Raw genomic sequence first — 24,417 nt, forward strand, 5'->3', positions numbered from 1 at the left:
AGACAAAAAATTAGTAAGGATATAGAAGATCCTAATAAAATGATGAGTAAATTTGACCTAATTGACATATGTAAAATGCTGCACCTAGCAAAAATAGAATTCACATTCTTTTTTTTTGAGATGGAATCTTGCTCTGTTGCCCAGGCAATGCAGTGACATGATCTCGGCTCACTGCAACCTGTCTCCCGGGTTCAACCAATTCTCCTGCCTCAGCCTCCCAAGTAGCTGGGACTACAGGCACCCGCCACCACGCTCAGCTAATTTTTGTATTTTTAGTAGAGACGGGGTTTCACCATGTTGGCCAGCCTGGTCTCGAACTCCTGACCTCGTAATCGGCCCGCCTCAGCCTCCCAAAGTGCTGGGATTACAGGCGTGAGCCACCGGCGCCCAGCCCACATTCTTTAACGTACACATGGAGCATCAAAATAGATCATGTGCTGAGTCCTAAAGGAAGCTTCTACAAATTTCATGATTGAAATTGCTTAGAGCATGTTCTCTGACAATAGAATTAAGCTCAAATTTAATAACAGAGTTAAACTAAAGAATCCTTAACTGCCTGAAAATGAATATACTTCTAAACAATTTATAAGTCAAAGAGGAAAGTAAAATAGAAATTAGAAACTATTTTTAATGAAAATATATTTAAGAAATGATATATACCATTATTATTAGTGTGATATATCTTTATCCTAAAACATTAAATGGTCAAAAGAAAGCATAGCATGACTGGACCTGCCTGATATTAGTCATCATTGTAAAAATTTGAAAATTGGAGGAATATTCTTTTCTTTCTCATTTATATATGAAAATATACATAAAAATATACATACACATGAAAACTTAGAAAATTATGTTAATGTATTTTTAGGAAGAAGGGTCAAATTATGATGTACGTTTACCATAATGTAAAAACGTAAGCTAAATCCAAAAGGATTTTACTCAGTGACCTTATTATTTCAGTCTGAATCATAATCAGGCATTTTACCTGGATACGTATCCCAGCTTGATCTGTCATAAAAAATTTCTTTCTTGTGTTTCTAAAAACTTCAACTCTCCAGTTTCAGCATTTACTAAGTCACCTTGTCAAACACAGAGAAATCTCCTTTAGCAGATAATTTTTGCTGGGTTGAAACAGATGGGCAATCTACTTGTGGTTATTTCCTAAGTACTTATTGCAGATATGGTGGTGATTGCTGCTCATGCATTTCCATTTGAACTTGAAGCATTGGTGTTTCTCTTAGCTGGCATCCTCCCCAGCTCTTCTCACCTCTCTTCTGGCTTGGCACATGGTGGGTCTGGCTCATCAGATGATCCCCTTGGAGGATGCTGCAAAACTCCTCAGCAACCTGCTCTGTATTCTTTGGCTGAAGATATCCTCCACTCTTGGGGCTCAAGTGCATTTCTCTAAGTCAATGCAGCCTTTACACTTTGAAGTTATTAGTAATTCTTCTCTGACCCCTCATTTTTGTCAGTTTAGTAATTTTTCTTTAATTTCTGCTTGTTGATTTGTGACCCCAATCTCTAGAAAACTCTTGTCAGGTATCTTGAAATGTACATTTTGTACATTGTATTTCCACTTTCCTGTGTCCCCAAACAGTTACCCATTTCCCATGTTAAAGTTCTAACTGCGTATCCTGGCATTCAAAGTATCTTTACATTACTTATTACCTACCTCTCCCTGTTAGTTTTCACTACCTTCTTACATAGAATGTCTACGTTGGCCAAACCTGACTAACCAGCATTCCCCAAATCCAAGCCCATTCTTTTTGTTACTTTACTGTGTCCTTTCCCCAGCCTAGAATGCTGCTGCTTCGCTTGTTGAAAGCCTAGCTTTCTCTAAGGTCTAGCTCAATATGGAAAATTTCTACATTTTCTAGCAAGTCTGTTTGTGCAGCTATTTCCGTCTTCTGTGATGGCTGACTCCTCTGATTCTTACACTGTTTGTTGTCTAATGCTCATGTCATGCCTACCATGTGCCTGCTGCTTGTGTGTGTGTGGTCAGCATTTTCATCTGGACCATTATTTGACTCATCAGCAGAAGACCTAGCTAGGATCTAGGTGCAACGGTGCCTCTTACTTGCTGTGGGATATGGGGCAAGTCATTCAGCAAACCCTGAAGTATCTACCTTATGTCAGACCCTGAGCTTACAAATGCAGACACTGTCCCTGTACTTGAGGCTGTCATAGTATGAGGGCTTCATATCTGAACTTCAGTTACCTCATCTATAAAGTGAGGCTAGTGATCGTCTTCTGCTTACTTCACAGGCTAACTGTGAGTTTCAAATAGGACACCAGATGAACAATTGCTTTCTAAACCATAGTGTCTATAATATGCTGTTCCGTTACGTGCAGCATAGTGGTTGAAAGTTCTAGTGCTGAACTCTGACTGCCTGGATTTCAACTCTACTGCTTACTAGTTGTGTAAACTTGGGAAAGCTTTTCTCTACCTGGGTTTCCTTAGCTAAGAACTGGAATGATTATAGTACCTGTCTTGTAGGGTGGTTGTGTGTATACACAACACACATAGAACAGTGATGCCCCACAGCTACTGCTCTGTGTGTTGATTTATATACTTCTTATTCCAGTTAGATTTTGAGGCAGCTTATAGAAATATGTACATTATGCCTAGATTTAAAAATAAATAATGGGAAAGAGAAAATAAATATTATTCCAAGGTAAAGTTACTATATAGATTTTTTCACTGATTCAACCAATATTTATTTATTATTTTTTAAATTTTGAGACAGGGTCTCACTCTGTCACCCAGGCTGGGGTGCAGTGGTGCAATCATGGCTCCCTCTAGTCTTGAACTCCTGGGCTCAAGTGATCCTCCTGCCTCAGCCTCCTGAGTAGCTTAGATAACAGGGTGTACCACCACACCCAGATACTTTTTTTTTAATTTTAAAAATTTTTGTAGAGATGAGGTCTCACTGTGTTGCCCAGGCTGGTCTTGAATTTCTGGCCTTAAGTGATCCTCCCCCCATAGCCTCCCAAAGTGCTGGGATTATAGGCATGAGCTACTACTACTCCTGGCATAACCAATATTTATTAAACACCAACATTATGCCAGACACTGTTCAGATGAACAGATACAAAGAACTTATCTCTTTGAGCTTGTATTCTGGTTGAGAGAAACAGACAAGAAACAAATAATAAACAGGAAATGTACCTGGAAGTAAAAACTGCTATGTAATGACTCAAAACCTACTCAAAACTCAGCATGTTGTATTGTGACTTGGTGACCACTTTAGATTGATGGGTCAAAGACTGTCTGAGGAGATGACATCTAAACCCAGGTTTGAATGTTAAAGAGGCTGGTCTTTTGAAGATGGAAGCTTGGTGAGGGGGAGAGCATTTTAGGCTAAAGTTGTGGCCAAGACAGAGCCCCTAACATGGTAGGAAAGAACTGGGCATGTTTGGGGAACTGAAACAGGACTAGTGTGGTCTGGTTGTACTGCATGAAGAGAGGGGCAGGTAGTGTGAGATAAGATCAGGTTGAAGAGAGAGGCAGAGTGTTTGGGGCCAGAGTAACACATTTACATTTTATTCTAATGCCCGTGGAAAAATTAAAACAGAGGAGTATTAGGTGTCATGTTTTATAAGTATCAGTTAGGTCAAGGTAGTTGATATGATACCTTCTACATCTCTTTTGATTTTATATCTAGTTGTTCTATCAATTGCTGAGAAAAGGGTGTTAAAATTTTCAACTATGATTGTAGAATGTCTGTTTCTTCTTTTATTTTGTCCATTTTCTCCATAATTTTTGAAGCTCTGCTATTGAGTACAGAAACATTTTTGATTGTTGTGTCTTTCCATATGAAATGTGTCTATCTCTGGTAATATTCTTTGTCTTGAAATTGACTTCACTGGATATTAATACAGATGTAGACACTTCAGTCTTATGCTTACTATTTTCATGAGGTATCTTTTCCCATCGTTCTACTATCAATTTGTTTTTATATATAAAGTGTGTTTCTTTTAGACAGATATAAAAGTGTCTTGATTATTTTTTTCCCTCATTCTGACAGCCTCTGCTTTTTAGTGAAGTAATTTTAGATATTGTATTTATCCTTTGTGGAGTTTGCTGAGTTTCTTGAATCTGTAAATTTATATATATATTTTTTACCAAATCTGGGAAAATTAGGGGCCATTACTTCTTAAAGGATTATTTTTCTACCTCAATCTTTCTTTCCTCTCCTTTTAAGACTGATTATATATATATTTGATATTTGGATATTATCTGTCCTATATATCCTGGATGCCCTGTCTGAGTTTTCCCCCAATATTTTTTCTTTCTTTTCTTTAGATTGGATACTTCCTGTGGATTTGTCTTCAAATTTATTGGCATTTTCTTTTGGCATCTCTAATCTGCCATTCCATTGAATGTTTTTTTCAGATACTCTATTTTTTACTTCTGACATTTTTATCTGGTTCTTTTCATAGTTATTTTCTGCTGCTATTTCCTATCTTTTTATTCGTTACATGAATATTTTCTGTTAACATCCTTTCTGTTATGTCCAGTTATAATAGCTGCTTTAAAATCCTTGTCTGATAATTCTAACATTTGGGCTATCTTGGATTGGTTTTCATTGATGGTTTGTCCTCTTGCATATGGGTCACATTTTCTGTTTCTTCATCTGTAGAATAATTTTAGCTTGTATCTTGAACATGTGATTGATACATTGTGGATACTCTAAACTCTGTTATGCTCCTCCAAGGTGTATGGATTTTTTCATCTGTTCGTTGAAGAATACAGTTAACTTGGCTTACTCAAACTCTGAGCCCTGTCCTCTCTGCAGTGGTGGAAGATGAATCTTGTTCAGTTCTTTAAGGCTCAGCTAGGCTGCTTAGGGTCTGTCATGCTCATGTGTCATTATGGGGCCCACCAGGGATTTTGACTGGATTTATACATAGAATTTTGGAGCTTTCCTTCTGTGGCTCTTTATTTTCTTACAGTTTCTGTTGGATGCCCTTTTCCATTCTCTGTGTTCCTTTGGTCACTCTTCAGTGCTTATTGTCTATGTGTCCAGAATTTTAGTTGTTATCTCAGGAGGATTGTTCTGTTAGGAATTAATTGGTTCTGACCAGAAGCAGAGCCTGAGTTTGTGTTATATTTTGAATATAAAGCAAACGTGATTTGCTGATGAATTGGATGTAGGGGGTGGTGGTGGCAGGGGCGTGGCGAAAGAGTGGAATCACTATGATTATTCATTTTTTGGCTTAAGCAACTGGGAGGATGATTTTACTCATTTTTTTGATAAAGAAGACTGGGAGAGGAGCCCGTTTGGCTGGAGTACAGAGGATGTGGAAGTTAAGGGTTTCATTTAGATGTGTTAAATTTGAGATGCTTTCTAGATATTCAACTGAAAATGTCAAATAGATAGTTAGATATTTAGAATCTGGAGCTCAGGAGTCCTAGAGATCCAGACTTAGTCATCAGAATATAATTGATATTTGAAACTGTGGGACTACATAGCTTTACCTAGGGAGAACTTAGCTGGTGAAGAAGGGGTGCCCCCAGCACCATGCTCTGAGGCAGTTCAGGATTTGGAAGTCAAGCAGAGGAGAGGAACTACCAAAGGAGACCAAGAAAGAGAAGCCTGGAGAGGATAGGTCACAGAAGTCAGAGAAGAATATTTCAAAGAAGGCATCAGTGGACAACTGATTTGAATGCTGCTGAGAAGTCAATAAGGTGAAGGACAAAAGAGAGAGCCTTGGATTGGGCCAGACAGAGATGACTTCACTAGACCATCTCACTACAATGGTGGTGGAACAAAGGGTGGGCGCAGAAGCAGAGACTATGACACCTGTGGACCAAAAGTGCTTGCTCTTAGGGCTCAGGTTATTTAGGCTTCCAGTTCACCTGGGAGCTGTGTAACCACCAAAGCAGAAAGGGACTACAGGTCTGTGAATATTTATTATTGATGATAGTGTTTCTATCCTGCAGTAGGGAAGACTTTTCACCTTGAACTCAGACCTTTCCCTGCCCAGGTTACCTGGACAACCAAACTTCCGGGGTCAGAGATGGCATTTGCTATGTATATGCTGCAATAGGATGTTTGTTTAGAGCTATTGGTAGTCGACTGCATGGTCTTTAATCAGTGGTCTTACTGATTATAGAAAGTGAATACCAAATTACAGCCACAGATGCTTTAGGCTCTTATTTTGCATACCAAGAGTTACCTTTTCTGTTGTCAAGTTGGAGCTTAGAAGGCACAAGGCTCTTAGTCAAGACAGTGTTGTGGTTCAGAGCATGATTTACCCAGAAATGATGGGATTTGACTGTTCATGGGAAGGAGCTTCCACAGAATGAGCATTTGTTTAACCAGGTGTCAATTTGCTTTGCAGGTTTCTTGGAACATAGACTTAAATTTCATTACACTTGTTTTCAAGGATCATCATTCCATGAAGTCTTATTATCCCTTGAGGCTGTTCTTATGTAGAGGCAGAAACTTTTGCCTTTGGTTTAGTGATAGTCTACCATTTTATCCTAGCATTCTGGCATTAACCTTTGGATTTGCCTAAAGCAAAATACAACAAAAGGAATCAGCCAAGCCAAAAATCTTTGATTTATTTTCCGACTCTCCTTCGGATTTTGGTATCTGGCTTCTGTTACTTTGCAGCTACCATATTCACATCTGGTATGGTGCTTGGACATGTTAGACTTGTTCTCCTGAATTGACTTAGAATGGTTAAGCCCTGGTCTTTTGGCTATGTTGACATTACTGGACTGATTCTTCATAAAGATTTTCCTGTTGGATAGAGTATCAGCCTTCCCCAGTCTGCCTGCCTTTATGTCAGGTTTTATTGTCTTCTTCAAGAAGACTCCATGTGAATTTCAGCCATCACAGTGTAACACTGATGATCTTTCAGGACAATTAAGATGTTCCTGGGAATTTCTCAGCGTGTGAACCTGCTAGCCCTCATATGACTCATGGGACCTCAGTGTTTCACGTACCCTTTTTCCCTCACCTGCATGACTGTGCCCTTATCTTTATTAGGAGTCTAATAAATAGGATTTGCTGGTTTTGATTTCAAAGCTGTGAAAGCCGTACTATAAGGTAAAAGGTAACCTTTATTTCTATTTAGTTTGTGAAAGGAAGTCATATGTACTAATCAGTCATTATAGTGAAGATCTTTGTGACAGTTTCCCTCCGAGCTTCATATTTCATGTATGTTTTCATTCTCTTCTTGTCTTTTGGATTAAAAGTATTTCTGTAAATAAATTGGGAACAATTCTGAGGTCCAGGACCTTCTGTTATCAGGTTAGAGCATTGGGAGCCATTTCCACATAAGGCAAATATTTCTAAAGCACAGTTTCATTATTTAGTCATTTTTAACACCAACCAGGTTACCTTTGCTGAATACAGCAAAATACACGATTTGAAGTCACCAGTCACCTGTCTGTTAATACTTTTATAGTGCAGCTGAGGTTCCAACCTGAAAAGCCAATGCTTTCATCTGTGGGTTAATTCCTTTCTATAATACTTATTTGCTTTAGTTGATTTTTGAAAAATCTCTTTGCAGGAATTCTGGCAGTATATTTTTTTCCTCCTTGTAGTTTTGGAACACTGCAGTTGAGTGAGAACATTCCCTATCCTAACTCCTAGAACTGAATTACAGCCAAATTGAAATGATTTGTGCTTTGAAGAGGAGAATTGGCAAGGATGCATGGTCTATGGCTCGTGTATTGTAAGATAATTGTAACCATGGCAGTGTGTGTTTCCTAATATTATGTTTCTACATTTAAGTGATGAGAGTCATCATAGGGAAAAAATCCACTTGTATGTTTCTAGTTGAATTTAAATTATTCCAACTTCATTATTACAACATTAGAAGTAGCTGTTTCCTGTGGAATAGCCGGTTCAGTAATTTGCTTTATCTCATGTGCAAGTGGTTTCTGCCTGGGCCAGTAATATATTTTAATAAGGCAAGTTTCCAGGAAGATACAACCTAACAATGATAACTTTAAAAAACCTAGATAAAGGAATATGAAAAACTTGATAATGAGGAAGACCGCCTTTGCAGAAGTCGACAAATTTATGATGCCTACATCATGAAGGAACTTCTTTCCTGTTCACATGTAAGTATTTCTTCTTACTCTGTTACTTTAGTACTGATGAATAAGGGACCATGTTCAGCGTTTCCAGAATGAAAGTTAAACAGTAGAAAGGTGTTTAAAATTGAAAAATGCACGCCCGGGATGGATCCTATTTCTTCTGCTTTGTTGTTTCCTGGTAATATTACCACGATGTGTGTTGCTTCGTGTAAGCTTAGTTTATTTCCAAAAGCTGATACTTTCACTGCAAACATCAATGAAATAAAATTGCTAATTTAGATCAACTGAAGAAAAAGTCTCAATTCAAGACATTCTAAAGGAAATTAAGCTTTATTATTTTAAAATGAGCTATACTTTAACAATTAAGCTAATCAGCTATTGATAAATATAAATTTTAAATGGTCTCTTTGAATGAATAAAGTGGCTTATAATCATTGTGTTAATTTTGTCCATTAATAGTTCAATAGCAGTTGTAATATTTTTTTTTCCTTGTAAATCAGATAAACAATCTAACTTGGTCATTAGGATAAACTAGGTTATTAGGAAATTATTCTATCAGGAGTAACTGGAAGAACATTTACCATGTAATATCTCTATATTAGGAATGTTTTCCAAAAGGTGGCCTGACAGTCCTGGCCTGCTGTATCAACGCAGCAGCCACTAGCTGCATGTGGCAATTTACATTTAACTTTAAATTAACTAAAGTCAAATGGGAGTAAAAATTTAATACCTCAGTTCCTCATGAGCCACATTTCCAGTACTCAGTGGTTACATGGGGCTAGTGGCTTTTGTATTGGATGGCACAGATACACAACCCTCCCATTGTCACAGCAAGTCCTATTGGACAGCACTGGTCATGGTATTGGTGTATTTTGGTGCTTCTGTATTCATTGTTTATGTACAGTTCTTGCTGACATTTGCATAACTGTGGCTAAAGAGGACGTCTCTTTCTTGCGGCATGCACTGCTCTGTTCCTTGGACCCACCTGGCTTGATGAAGGAATTTCTGGGCCTAGGACTAATTGTTGCTACTCCATGCCTTGCTGCCTCAGTAGGGAAGGACTGAACCCTTGAAGAATGCCAGATGTTCAATGGGAAAGCCTCCGTAAACTTAGTTTTTATGTAGTTCAGCAGTTTAGAGGGTGTTTATTCGTATGATGGTACTTTTAAGCCTTTCTTCTTATTGTACATTATTAAAGAAGACACAATTTGAAGTTTGGAGAGGGGAGGATACCATTTTAATTTTTATCAGTGGGAGCTCCATTTTTTTCCCCCTAGTTCCCCTCGCTGTGGTTACAGTAAGACTTTCCTTAACTAGAGCCTTTTACCACTATGGCTTGACTTTGTAATCCTGACATTAATTCTTAGGGGTATTTTTGTGTATTTTCTCTTATTTGATGGAAATTTTATCTTTTTACAACCCCATTATCAGTTTGTTGATGAATGTATGCATTTAGGGCCCAAACAATCCTCCCATCTCAGCCTCCAGAGTAGTTAGGACTACAGGCGCACACCACCATGCCTGGCTCATTTTTATTTTTATTTTTATCTTTATGGAAATGAGGTTCCACTGTGTTGCCCAGGCTGATCGCGAACTTCTGGGCTCAAGTGATCCTCCTGCCTCAACCTCCCAAAGTGCTGGGATTACAGGCATGAACCAGTGCACTTGACCTGATAATAGGATTCTTTACACTTTATTATCAGAGTGATCTTGAACCCTTCTGGAATTGCATAATGTCAGCCCCTGCATGGTCATTCTTCTGGGCATGTATCTAAGAACTGGATGCCCAGAGGAACAAGCATTTGCTGCGATTGCCTATAAATACTCAACAGATTTTTAAAGAATGTTTGTTAATATAATTACCGTAGGTTACTGTTTAGTAATTGCTGTGTTAAATTTATCTGTTGTGATATTATATAACATACACAGATTGGTTACATTTTATTATTTAAAAATATTATTTTTGACTTTGATAGCCTTTCTCAAAGCAAGCTGTAGAACACGTACAAAGTCATTTATCCAAGAAACAAGTGACATCAACTCTTTTTCAGGTAAGATAAAATTATTCCAAAATAAATAGATAATATTTGCTTAACACTTGGCCTTGGTGACATTCTTTTTGCATGTGCAATTACACTAGAGGACTTGCTTTGTAAAGACTGTGTTCTATTCTGGAGCTTTGTCTGGGACTATTTGAGTTTATTATCGCTTATCTTCCCATTGCAAAGTGTCCTTCTACCAACGTGCTTCCTAAAGCCTTTTCTGAAAAAGGTCATTAGAGCTTTGTCGTAACATTATGTTCTAGAAATCAGTCAAGATAAGACATCAGAGAAGCAAGTTTTTGCCCATTTGACATTCCAGCACCTGTGATGAGCAATGACTCTACAAGATTTATTTTGTAGTGCCAGGCTGTTGATACTTGCTGTGATTATCCTCTAGGGGAAATACAATTTATTTTCAAGATTCAGGAGCAAATGTTTGAGTGATCTTTGAGTCATGGGAAATTGTATTTTACCTTGGCTGTTCATATCTTGAACACAATACCGTCATACAGGTTTAAATGACAAGACTTGGAAAATCAGATTCCCAACTAATAGGCCTATGTATTTGGCATTCCTTAGATGAGGTGGTTTCACTTCCTCCCAAAAGCCTTTTCCATCCTGTGTTTTTTATAGAGGTGGCAGTGGTTTACAAGGACAGTCAGATTCTCCAATGAACAAAGTGCTTTTCATGTTTCTATAAATTACAAGAAATAGGAAAGAATGTCATTGAGTAATATAATGGTTTTAATAAGTGAAAATAATCAACTCATCTTTTTCCTGGATAAGTTGGGCATTTAAAGGGAGGTAAGTTGACTTTGGCATTTTTTTTTTTTTTTTTTTTTTGAGACAGAGTCTCGCTCTGTCGCCCAGGCTGGAGTGCAGTGGTGCTATCTCTGCTCATTGCAACCTCCGCCTCCCAGGTTCACGCCATTCTCCTGCCTCAGCCTCCCAAGTAGCTGGGACCACAGGTGCCCGCCAGCATGCCCAGCTAATTTTTGTATTTTTAGTAGAGACGGGGTTTCATTGTGTTAGCCAGGATGGTCTTGATCTCCTGATCTTGTGATCCGCCCGCCTCGGCCTCCCAAAGTGCTGGGATTACAGGCATGAGCCACCATGCCCGGCCAACTTTGGCATCTTATGATGGTGTTTATGCAAAATGAATTTGATTATTCAGCAGAGCAAATACCGATTTGGCTCTTAGAGCATATTTAGATAGTAACAAATTGGGTGTTACCTTTCTGTGACAATAATTAGATGGACTTTCATAAAATGTAATACCTGTCTGGATAGTAGTGGGTTATAAGCTTGGGTTATGAAATTCATTGACCTGACCTGGCTTTGAGTCCCAGGGCCGTAGCTGGAGGACCTTGGGTAAGCTCCTCCACCTTCCTAACTTCAGTTTTCTCATCTGTAAAGTGGAAATGACACTGCGCTCTCCCTGAAAGGGAGGTCTTGATTCAGTGAGAAGGGTGCACACGGGTTGCTTTGTACGAGGCCCGCCTATCACTGTGCTCCACAAATGTTAGCTATTATCACACATCTTACAGTCAGAAAGTACAGTGTCAATATCTGCTTTTTGTTGTCTCCATGATATTTGAGTGTCAGAATTTCAGTTTTCATCTGACTTTGCCATGGTACGTAGACAGCCTTATGGTCAATTACATTTAACATTGCTAAACCATACCTCATAATACATGGGTTTTACAAATCTGATTTTAGCTTCCACTATAACATAAATAACATTGAAAAAAAATTGTTCCAGTTGAGATACAAAGACCACTAGGATTCTTTCATACCTTCAAAAAACATTCATTTAGAAGCAATTTCTTTCATATATCTTTTAAAAAACACTTTATTGATTTGTTTTGTTCATTAAAAAAATAGTCAAAATTTTCTGGCTAAACAGATATAGAATGGGTATTATTCTTATTTCAGAGGTGAAGAAAATCTTATAAAGTTTATTAAAATAAGGAGTATATTAATGCAATTCTATGTATTATGTACCATCAGAGCATAATGACTAAAGTATAAGTAAAAGGTATATGTCTGAATGTCCTGTTTACAGAGGTACATTAACCAGTAAAGTCAGTTGAAGTTCATAGTAAAACAAAACTGTTTTTAAAGTAAATACGAATGCTTTTTATTAAATTCTTTTTGTTGTAAGATTGCCTTTAGAGGTAAGTAAGTGCATAGGTCCATTGGTGGCGGGCTTGGGAGGGGCCCTAGCTTGTGCTTGAGTGCTTCTAAAATGCACTGTGCCCTGAGCTCGGCTCTCAGTATTCTGAATCTTACCGAATTCTCACGACAGCCTTACAATTTAGATACGACTGTTCTCTTTTACAGATTAAGGGAACTGAGGATCAGAGAGGGAAAGTAGTCTGCTCCTCATCTCACTGTTGAACTCTGGCTTTCATACTCCTTAGCAAGCCTGTTGCGGTTCTTTCTGTTGAAAAGTGGCAGCATGGTAGATTCTACGTAGTCTTAGGAATTCCCAGTGACACTCATCTTTTACTTTATTAGCAGAAAGTAGGGATGTTTGATAAAATATGAAAGAAAAATATTAATTGACATAATAGCTTTTATAAATAGAAAAATCTGTGATCTATAAATGTAGCCTTTTCTTAGATCTTTGGACATTTGAATCTATTTCGTCTCTTGACTCTTTTGAACCTCTTGAGACTTGTCGAGGACTTGGCTAAGATAGATGTTGTGTGTTTCCTGGAATCAGGATTTCAGAGCTGGAAGGAACTTCAGAGAGAGATAATTTAGCTTCCTCTTTCACCACAAAGGGGACAAAGTCCATATGGTTTTCGCAACTAGCTCCAGTGCCTTCCCCAGGACAGGGATAGTTCTGCAAGTTGGGGTAGACTGGCTCACCCCCCACCACCGCCCCCTATCCCGCGTTGCCCGCCAGGCTAGCGTCCTTTCTGCTTGCAGGAAGCAAGGCTCCCAGAAGGACTGCAGCTGCCTCCCAGCCCATGTTTGGTTCCTGTGGCTTCTGCAGACTTCCTATTCTCATCACTTGGTTTGTACTGTTCCATGATGTAGTTTTTCTTTTATTTTGTTTTGTAAACTTTCAGGATGATCTATGAAGACATAAAAAAAAGGTTAAATTTGGATCATTCAATGAGCTGAGGGTGCCAAAATGTTTCCCAAAACTATCTAATTGACTCTGGGCTGAACTGTGAAATATTGTCTCTTTATATTTTTATAGTTCTTGATTTTAAAAGTTCATAACATGGAAAAGGAAAGCTGATGCTGTTTATTCAGTAATGGGTAAAGTGGCATGAAGTTGAAGTAGATGGTAGTTGTTCTCCATGAGGGGAAGAGCACTGTGCATGTGAACCAGGAGCCCTCGCCTTAACCCCAGTTTAGCCATGGACCTTCTCAGAGACCTTGGGAGTGCACCTGCCTGCAGTTTGGTAGCCTTACCTGTAAGATGAGGAGTGGGATTGGATCAACTCTCCCCTGTGGTTTTCTCTATGACTCTAAGAGATAGAAAATCAATAAATAAAATAGCTAATTAAAAAAAATTTCACTTCATGGACCTATTAGCTTTGAGTTTTTAAAACTCAGTGCAGATTACAGATGCTTTTATTAGCTTACAAGTTGTGCCACATAACTTGTGGGGCCCAGTGCAACGTGAAAACGCAGGGCTCCTCATACAAAAATGATTAAGAATTTCAAAATGGCAACAACAGAGCTTTAAACCCAGCACCAGGCTTTTCTGAGTCACACTTCCATGAAGCGAGCCCTGCTCCTGTAAGAAGTGTCTGTGACTTGCCAGGAGTCATATTAGGTAGTAGGAATATAGTGGCAAACAGGGCAGACTTGTCTGTGTCTTCATAGAATCAAGTGGTGTAGATAAATATTGATGAATGCATTAGTGAATATTAGACAAGCACGGAGAAGGGCAGGTACCAGACACAATGCTATGGGGAGTGCATAATTGGGAACTTCGCTTAACCTGAGTCTCATTGGTTTGTGTTTTTTTGATACATTCCGATTCATTCACCGTGGAATTTCTTTTCCATCTCTTCCAGCCATACATAGAAGAAATTTGTGAAAGCCTTCGAGGTGACATTTTTCAAAAATTTATGGAAAGGTATGAAACTTTATGCATATATATACACAATTTTTTATCATGTACGTGTACCTCATCTTATGCCGTAAATGCTGACCTTAAAATGTGTGTTAATCATTTAGCAAGTATTCACTGACCATGTACGATGTGCCAGGCTTTGTGTTAAACTGTTTCCTCAGTACTTTACATTATAATTTTAGGGTTTGTCTATCTTAACATCTCTTTGACCTTCAATTTCTCAGCTTCAATAGAGTCTAAAATATACACTGAGGAACCTCAATTTTAAAAAGTATCTTATTGAGAGACCTTTGCTAATAATGCAAACTTGACTATAATTTATCTGATTCATTTGCTTGGATTTTGGAAACATGTCTCCCAAAGCAGGACAAGCCTGTACTTGATTCTTCATGTAGGAGTAGAATTTAAGGACATAGGTCAATGTCTGTTTATGATCGTGTACATCATTAAATACCTAATAAATATGTCCCTTGGTTACTCAAACTATAGATCTACTGGTCAATTCTTCAGTTTTTTGAGTATGTCTCTGTGACAATGCACCACTGAAATTGGACCCTCTAAAACAGAATCTGCATTGACACTGACTTTATCAGCTTGGCTAATTTCTAGACAATATACGTGATGATAATATCTCATGCTAGAGCTTTCTGCAGCTGCTCAGTAATTGCACTTTAAGAACAAATGCTACTTTACTGTAGTTTTCTTCACCACATATTCACAGAACTAAAGCAATTAAAAAGAAAGTTGTGTTGCAATTCTATTGGAGTTCAAGAGGTAATTTTATCCTGGAGCAGAGTCAATATGTTGGGAAACTAATATTCTTACAGACGATTGTACTTTTCTGAGTAATAGCAGGAACTTTGCCAAAAAGCGCCAGCATCAAAGGGAGAGGGTGGGCTGCTGGCTCAGGGCTGAGTTGCAGCCAAGTCCTGGGCCATCTCCATGGCTGTTGGTCCTAAAATCTGACCTTTCCCAACTCTTGGGTAAACCTAACTTTTGTGTGATCCTTAAGGGAGAAGGGAGAGAGGGGAAGGTAATTGAAAGTGGGGAAGAGGTTCTCCCATGGATATTTTATAACTTTGCCATGCATCCTTTCACTTGAAACCAGGCTCACAGATATAGTGATTTTCGCTCATTGAGACAGTCATTTCATAGCCTCACAGTAAATGCAAACGATGCCGTTTGCATTTTAGGCAAGCAGGCACATGGGATTTTCTGCAGCCATTACAATTTTCTGTAAATAAATTATTTTTAAAGTTGATTTGTTAATTTCCATCAAATTAGAAAAAAGAATTCATGTCAGGTGATAAGTTTGGAGCTTTGATTTTGAAAAGCACAGGGACTCCATCAATATGGTCATGTAGCCTTTGACCTCATAGGGACTGGGCACACGAAGGGCCCCATGGAAAAGGTGATTTTTCCATGACCACCCTGAGTCTGATGGTAAAGAGGGAGCCATCAGCAATGCAGGGACATGTGCGATGTCTTCCCACCTTCCCTGAGGTCCAAGCAGGGCTGTGGGGCTGAGTTCCAGGTGAGGCAGAATTGGAGAGGGCAGTGGAGGCTTTCCCTCTTCTAGTTGAGAGCTATGCGCCTCATTCAGGCAGTGAACTTCAGTTGCTCAGCAGGACAACGACTGAGTCAGGAATCAGAGTTAAAAACACTTCTCCTACTCCACCCTTACTGCATCCCAGGCGTTTCCATGTCTTTAACCTCTGATCTTCTCTCCAAGATCCTTTGAAGTCATTTGCAAGGGCTCTAGCTACCTGAAGCCCTATCATTGTCTGGGCTCTTTCCTTTGTCACAGTTCCCCTCCTGTCAAAAGTGTCCCACTCAGTAACCAGGCATTGATTGGGAATAGCACTCAAATAACCCCCGTGGAGACAGGACTGAGCCTAGATACTCAGGGCCATCTGTACTTCCTAAAGAGGAACTTGTTACAGCAAATCCATTCTTAGTGGGCAAAATATGTAGGCACTTCTCTCTTCCTTGTTTGTTAACCCTCCTCAGCTAGTTGTAAAATGTGTCAGATTTCCATCCCCTGTCACCAGCTCTGGACTCCAGAATCTGTGAGAAAAGACAGTAAGAGCTAGCCTCACAAACCAAGTGCATTTCAAAGACCAGTCATAGATTTATAAATGGGAGTGCACCCAAATGTGGTTTTGCCTTTTGCATGCACCATACTTTTAAAAAATAGGTTGAAATAACTCTTAGAAAGTCTCAAAACATAATTTTAATTGACCAACTTCATTAGACATGTTAGGAGGATCAGTGAAACACTCTTTGTGAGTCATTTTAGATTCATTGAAAAAAAGATGCTATTGTAATTGCAACTATTCCTCTGCTTTTGATTTTTAATTTGATTGTTAGCCTCAGAAATATGTTAAAGATCCTTATTTTTTAAAAGGTCTATTGGTCGGGTGTGGTGGCTCGCCCCTGTAATCCCAGCACTTTGGGAGGCTGAGTCAGCAGGATCGCTTCAGGCTAGGGCTTCGACACCAGCCTGTACAACATAGCAACACCCACTATCTTCAAAAATAAAAATTAAAAACTAATAGCTTAGTGCGGTGGTGTGTGCCTGTAGTCCTAGCCACTTGGGGGGCTGAGGTGGGAGGATCACTTGAGCCTAGGAATTGAGGGTTGTATCGACCTAGGATTGCACCACTGCACTCCGGCCTGGGACACAGAGTGAGACCCTGTCTCCAAAAGAAAAAAAAAAATTGTAAAGCTCATTAAATGAAGCCCCTAGGGAACTGTGATATTTGGATGTCTTTAAGGCATTCCAGTATGATGCTAATATTACCTATAACTCCCTTCCTCCCTTCCTCCCTTCCTCCCTCTCTCCCTGAATCCTGTGTCTGTGTAAGGAATCATGCCAGGGGCAAAATGAGATCGAACCATCACCAGAATGTTCTCTACGAAGTATTCAATCTAGAATGCATTTCTTTTGAAAATAGTTTAAAAAACAAACACCTGGCCGGGAGGGTGGCTCACGCCTGTAATCCCAGCACTATGGGAGGCCGAGGCGGGCGGATCGAGACCATCCTGGCTAACATGGTGAAACCCCATCTCTACTAAAAATACAAAAAAAAAAAAAAAAAAAAAAATTAGCCTGGCGTGGTGGCGGGCCCCTGTAGTCCCAGCTACTCGGGAGGCCGAGGCAGGAGAATGGCATGAACCCGGGAGGCGGAGTTTGCAGTGAGCTGAGATCGCGCCGCTGCACTACAGTCTGGGGACATAGCAAGACTCCATCTCAAAACAAAAACAAAAAACAGGCCAGGCGTGGTGGCTCAGGCTTGTAATCCCAGCACTTTGGGAGGCTGAGGCGGGCGGATCACAAGGTCAGGAGATTGAGACCACGGTGAAACCCCCTCTCTACTAAAAATACAAAAAATTAGTCCACGTGGTGGCGGGCGCCTGTAGTCCCAGCTACTCCGGAGGCTGAGGCAGAAGAATGGCGTGAACCCGGGAGGCGGAGCTTGCAGTAAGCCGAGATGGCGCCACTGCACTTCAGCCTGGGCGACAGAGTGAGACTCCGTCTCAAAGCAACAAAAACAAAAACAAAAGACCCACCTTACAGATATATTGCTCATTAATAAAAAACGTAATCAAAATGTCTTTGTTAAATAGATACAGGATATATCTTTTTCCTCATGGATAAAGAAAACACTCATCAAGCAGTTGAGTGAATTGTGGGAGCATGTCAGTGTGGTGAACCTATTGCCTCTTAGGATTCTAGTCTGAGGGTTTCTCTTCTATACCACCTGTGTCTATTGGTCTGGGTTCAAATTCCACTCTCCCACTCTGTCACTGTGTGACCTTGGCCAAGCCTCTGAACATTTTGATGCCTTGGTCTCCTCAGCTATAAAATGGGGATCATAATAGTACCTGGCTGTAGAGTCTGTAGGAGGAATACATGAGCAGGCCTGGCACATGGCTACTCTTAGAATTATTTGTAAACATTAATTTTTTGTCTTAGAGCTGTGCTTTAAAAGCCATGGCTGTCCAATATGGTAGCCAGTAGCCAGATACAGCTATTGAACACTTCAAATGTGATGAGTCTAAATTAAAATGTGCTTTTAAGTGCAGAATGCACTTCAGATTTCAAAGACTTAATATAGTAACAAGAATGTAGAATATCTCATTAATTCATATTGATTTCATGTTGAATTTTTAATATATTGGGTTACATAAAGTATATTATTAAAATTACATTATATATGTGGTTCATATCATCTCCGTATTGGACTCTGCTGATTCAGATAAAAGTGGTACCATAGCTTATGACAATTAAAGAAGAAACATGAAATCTTTCATTTGAATCATGAAATAAAGCCATGAATACGGGTGAATGCTCTGTGAAAAAGGGTTTCAGAAAACTTAACTTTATTTGACAAGCAACCCAAGTAATGCCGTTCTAGTCTGTCTTACGGTGTTGTTTTGTAAATCCAGTTAATTTGATATTTAACTTTTTAGTAATTATTTTATTCTCTTTTAGTGACAAGTTCACTAGATTTTGTCAGTGGAAAAACGTTGAATTAAATATCCATGTGAGTATCATCTTTTTCTTTTTTCATTTTTTAAATAAAAACTTCCTCTGGCTTAACCTCATGAGAAAATACTTGATTCTGGAACGTACTCCCAGAGGGTCCACTGCCCAAACAGATGTCTGTCTTACAGCTTTAAGTACTAAGCATTCACCCTCCCATGCTTCCTTATAAACAATAGAAGCTTTAATCCTTTTTCATATTCATATGAGAATGTGCTTGTTTATGTAAGATATTTTAAGAGGTAATTGACTCTTTAACAAAAATAGTAGTAAAAATACAAATCTTTTACTTAATATAACTCCTTCATGTCCTTGCCTTCTGCCATTCTGGTAGAGTTCCTTTTCTTTTTCTTATTATTAGATATAATAATACAAATTGAGTATCATAATGAAAATGATGACATCTTTTATCAGACCAAGGCTTCATCTTCTTTTTTATCATTTTGAGAGTGATAAAAGCAATCTTCCAATACAGGCCACGTTCTAACACGTCATCTCCTTAGTGTTTCATCTACTTTAAGTTTTCAATTTCAGTCATTCTTATTGCATCATCCTTATTGCAGTTTGAAAATGCACACATTTCTTTGCACAGTCTTTCTTACATTCTGTTTTATAATCTCCCTTCTCATAGGCTTGCAATTGGGCAAAACAATCAACCGGAATTTTTTTTTTTTTTTTTTTTTGAGATTTTTTACTTGAATGGTATTGTTGGAAGAGGGGCTTTTTTTTTTTTTGAGACGAGTCTCGCTCTGTCGCCCAGGCTGGAATGTAGTGGCGCGATCTCTGCTCACTGCAACCTCCGCCTCCCGGGTTCACACCATTCTCCTGCCTCAGCCTCTTAAGTAGTTGGGACTACAGGCACCCGCCACCATGCCCGGCTAATTTTTTGTATTTTTTAGTAGAGATGGGGTTTCACCGTGTTTGCCAGGGTGGTCTCTATCTCCTGACCTCATGATCAGCCCGCCTCGGCCTCCCGAAGTGCTGGGATTACAGGCGTGAGCCACCGCGCCCAGCAGGAGTTTTGTTTTTTTTAAAAATACTTGATCTTCACTAAAAGGCCAAGAAATGATCTATTTTTTTTTTTTTCAATTTCTAACCTCCTTTTCCCATCATATTTCCTGGAAGGATTTAGAAGCAAGAGGCAATACCAGATACTCTAAAAACCCCTTATATCTGCTCTGGGTCTTTCATACGCTTCTGCCTCGGGAGACCCTGTGTCCTTGTGGACTCTGAGAATCAAACGTGAAGTCTGTGGCCCAAACGCAGGTTTCTATAGGATGTTTTAAGGTTGTTTGGGGGAGCCCTTAAAGAATCCCACCCTTAATTTGCCAGGATATGTAAAGTAGTAGGTACTTGCTATTGTCTTACGGCCTCTTACGTGAAATGTCAGATTCACTATCTGTCTTTGTGCCACTTAACATTATTAAATCTAATGATGAAGTGGGGCATTACTGAGATATTATTGACTGAAGGAAAGTGCTTATGAATACAGCCTCTGTATATACTTCACTCACATTTAGCCTTGTTTCACGCTCACATGGCCAGCATGAGTCCTCTCTATTCACTGATGTTACCAATAACAAATTCACATGGCCTGCATCTGTTGGGTTTCCTGATCATATGGCCTTGTATCATGAACACATAGATGCCCCTGACATGGACTCTCATTTTTCAACTCTGACAGTTCTCGGAAGCATTGGATTGTTCCCAAACATTAGGCTTCGGAGTAGCTAAGGCTGCTTTTCATTTTGATTAGACATTTCACATTCACTTGTCCTCAAGGTATACATATTGTAATCTGGGATTTGTGAGAGTGGAGAAACAGTTCGGCTTGGTTCCACTCCATCATCTTCCCTTGTGCCTCCATTTGGTGCCTCGTTTATCCTGGAGGTGGAGCTGAGGGAGGCTGTCAAAAGTCTTGCCACCCCTGGGGCATCTCATCCTTCAGCTTAAAGACTCAGTCATGAAAAGGGTAGATCCCTAAGTCAGATTGCTATTTTAATTACTGTCTATGTTTTGCATGAAAAAATCTTTAAAACACCATAGCTTTGTGTAATCTTATGTTTTCATTTTGTGTTTGGATTTCCCAGTTGACCATGAATGAGTTCAGTGTGCATAGGATTATTGGACGAGGAGGATTCGGGGAAGTTTATGGTTGCAGGAAAGCAGACACTGGAAAAATGTAAGCTTTCAATGCTCTTATGTTTTACTGGCACTATTAAAATTTTAATATTTGCATGAAAAGAAAATTCCTATAAAGAAATGTGGAAACCTATGACATTTCTTTTGAAGTACTTTACCTCCAAAAGAAATAAGCTGTAGGCCGGGCGTGGTGGCTCACGCCTGTAACCCCAGCACTTTTGGAGGCAGAGGCGGGTGGATCACGAGGTCAGGAGATCAAGACCATCCTGGCTAACAGGGTGAAACCCCGTTTCTACTAAAAATACAAAAAATTAGCCGGGCGCAGTGGCGGGCGCCTATAGTCCCAGCTACTCAGGAGGCTGAGGCAGGAGAATGGCGTGAACCCGGGAGGCAGAGCTTGCAGTGAGCGGAGTTTGCCACTGCACTCTAGCCTGGGCAACAGAGCAAAACTCTGTCTTGGAAAAAAAAAAAGCTGTATTTTGTTAAGCATGGGGAATGAGAGCAATAAGCTGGAACCTCCACCTCTTAGGGCCAAATGGGAAGTTCAACAATAACCTTGTATCCTGTGCCCAAGATGGTGCGGGTTGTGGGTGGGAGCCAGGGAGCCAGAGGTGAACTAGAAGGGATCCTTGACAACTGTGGCATGTTACGTTCAGCCTCCCCATCAGATCACATGACAAAGAATTGTTTGCTTTGCAAAAGAGAGACATTCTCTTTTAAATAAAGACTCACCGACGATGAAGTGAAGCATAAGCCGTTGTGGCATTTCAGATGCTGGTTCGCTAGATCAGTAGCTGGGGTGCTGGAGAGGAGGAAGCCCTGTGGACAATGATCACCGATCATGGGCTCCATCACTCACCTTGGTTAACGTTTTTCCTGGGAGGTCAGCATTCAGAAACTAACTGCATCTGAGCTGGGTAGAAGGGTCTTCTGGAGAGTGAATGGTGGAATTCTTAAGTGTGGGGGAACATTTTTTTTTTTAACAGAAGTGGCTTAAGACATATTTCTGAAAGCAAAAGATAGTGGAAAAATATGATTTGATAGATCCAGAACTACAAGTTTGGTTAAGTGCCAGGCATGTTAGAGCAGTGGGCTTGGTGGAGTAGTATAGTGTGTGAGGCTTGGTTATAAAGTAATTGAGTCCGTGGGAGAAGGGGTGTTTGAGGCCCCCTAATTCAGTGCCTGCCTCCGGTCAGCCTCTGCTCAGGCACTTCCTGGGATTGGGAGCTGATGGCTTTGCCAAGAAGTCCTTTCCGTTCTCAGACAGGTCCAATGGATGATATGTTTTTTGAGGACTGAAATTTACCTTTGTTAATTTGTACCCATTGGTTGTCTTTCTACTCTGGGGGCCTGGGCAGGGCGAGCCTGATGCCCGGCACTCAGGAGTTTGAAGTCTGGGGTGGTGCCCAAGCAATGTAGCCTAGGGATCTGGAGTAAGGGTCCTGGTATCACACCTGCTACGTCAGGTTCACCCTCCACACTTTCTGCCTTGGACAAAGTTTGGGACCTCTCAATGCCTCCATCTCCTGGTCTATAAAGTAGGAGTAATAAAAGTGCCTTGTTATGAGAATTAAATGAGATTAGACTTTGTCAGGCTTTCGGAAGGCTGCTTGTTGTGTGTTAAGTACAAGGAAATTAGAGTATACTGAAACACAGTCCTCTGCAACCCTGGTCAGTTTCACTGAAACACAGTCCTCTGCAACCCTGGTCACTTTCACTGAAACACAGTCCTCTGCAACCCTGGTCACTTTCTCATGGAAAAGTTCTTTCTTATTCTGTACTTGCACAGTGCACTTTTTCATCCTAAGTGATATACTCTACTTGTTGCTTGGCACCGTTCATTAATTTCTGCTAGTTTTGCTTCATAATTGTATTTAGAATATCTAGTCAGACACTTGATGTTATAGAAGTAAATAATATCGGCCGGGCGCGGTGGCTCACACTTGTAATCCCAGCACTTTGGGAGGCTGAGGTGGGCCGATCACGAGGTCAGGAGATCGAGACTGTCCTGGCTAACACAGTGAAACCCTGTCACTACTAAAAATACAAAAAATTAGCTGGGAGTTGTCATGGGCGCCTCTAGTCCCAGCTACTCGAGAGGCTGAGGCAGGAGAATTGCTTGAACCCGGGAGGTGGAAGTTGCAGTGAACCAAGATTGCACCATTGCACTTCAGCCTGAGTGACAGAGCGAGACTCAGTCTCAAAAAAAAAAAAAGGAAATAATATCAACTTATCTCTTTGTACACATTTACTATTTCACATAACTCTCAAAAATAGCCAGTGGGTAGTAAATATTCTTCTATTCTATAGATCAAGTGTAGATACTTCTCAGGAGCCATATAGCTAGAAAGGGGTCAAGTCTTAAGGCCCACGAACCCTCACTCATGTCTGTTCCTGTCACCAGGCTGCCAGTTGCATGCACACTGGCTCTGCGAGCCCATCAGTGAACCACAAGGTGCACCCCTAGGAGCCTGTTAGGTAGCTCTTTGATACCTTCTAAACAGAGGCCCAAGAATGCACTTGCTTCCCAGAGGCCCGAGGCCTGTGTGCTATCTCCTTTGGTCTGCAATCTAAAGGTTTTATTAAAAACCACCAAGTGCAGTGGCTCATGCCTGTAATCCCATCTACTCAGGAGGCTGAAATAGGAGGATTGCTTGAGGACAGGAGTTCGAGACCAGCCTGGACAACATAATGAGACTCTCATCTCTAAAAATAATATTTTTTAAATTAGATGGGCCTGGTGACAGGTGCCTGTAGTCCCAGCTATGCTCCAGCTACTCTGGAGGCTGAGGTGGGAGGATTGCTTGAGACCAGGAGTTTGAGGCTGTAATGAGGTACAATCATCCCACTGGACTCCAGCCTGGGCAACAGAATGAGACCCCATATCTTAAAAAAAAAAAAAAAAAAAAAAAAGAAAAGGAAAAAAAAAGAAAAGAAATCAACTCCACATGGAAGAGAGTGGTGATAGAGGTAGTGTAAAACATTTTGAAAATTCTTTTAAATAAAAATAAGATATTTGAAGAACATATCACTTCATGTGTTTCTAACATTTGATCCCACATGTAAGCAAATTAATGTCTTGCCAATTGATTTGTTGTAAGAACTCGTAGAAAAGTGGATAAAAACACCAAATTTGAACATTTATCTTGTTTTTATATAACTTAAACATGATAAGTTATGATCAACAAGAAAAAGGTAGATTTTCTGTGTCTGCTACACTGAGACAGTGTCCATGCTGCAGATCCGGGCTGAAGGAAGTAGTCCATCATCTGGGAATTTAGAGTTATACACAAGAACTTTCAGCCTGTGAAACGTGTGAAAACACTTGCAAGAATTCCCTTTTAGCCTTCTGTTGTCCTACCGAAAAAGCTTCCTGTTTTCTATAGAATATGCCATATAACTTGTCTGCATTTTCTAAATATGAGTTTGTTCCAGGTTTTCAAAAATCTTAAGTTGCCAATTGGTTCTTCTCAATTGACTTGCCTCAATGATAGTAGAAAAATCTTATTGATTCTTTGTATTA

The 24,417-nt window shown here is 39.9% G+C and overlaps 1 protein-coding gene across 5 annotated transcripts in view; it reads left to right on the plus strand.

Moving 5' to 3' along the window:
• The window catches only part of GRK3 (G protein-coupled receptor kinase 3), a 164,620-nt gene that overhangs the window by 88,920 nt on the left and 51,283 nt on the right, over nucleotides 1-24,417 (plus strand). For 4 of the 5 annotated variants that reach the window (NM_005160.4, NM_001362778.2, XM_047441167.1 and 1 more), the window contains 5 exons: nucleotides 7,982-8,083; nucleotides 10,036-10,110; nucleotides 14,145-14,206; nucleotides 18,702-18,753; nucleotides 20,843-20,934. In NM_005160.4, the coding sequence (NP_005151.2) occupies nucleotides 7,982-8,083; nucleotides 10,036-10,110; nucleotides 14,145-14,206; nucleotides 18,702-18,753; nucleotides 20,843-20,934 (383 nt within the window). Of the gene's footprint in view, nucleotides 1-7,981; nucleotides 8,084-10,035; nucleotides 10,111-13,038; nucleotides 13,127-14,144; nucleotides 14,207-18,701; nucleotides 18,754-20,842; nucleotides 20,935-24,417 lie in introns of those variants that run through there. The other variant, XM_011529975.3, reaches the window with a different exon arrangement.

This window comes from Homo sapiens, chromosome 22 (assembly GCF_000001405.40).
Source record: "Homo sapiens chromosome 22, GRCh38.p14 Primary Assembly".
NCBI classification, from domain to species: domain Eukaryota; kingdom Metazoa; phylum Chordata; class Mammalia; order Primates; family Hominidae; genus Homo; species Homo sapiens.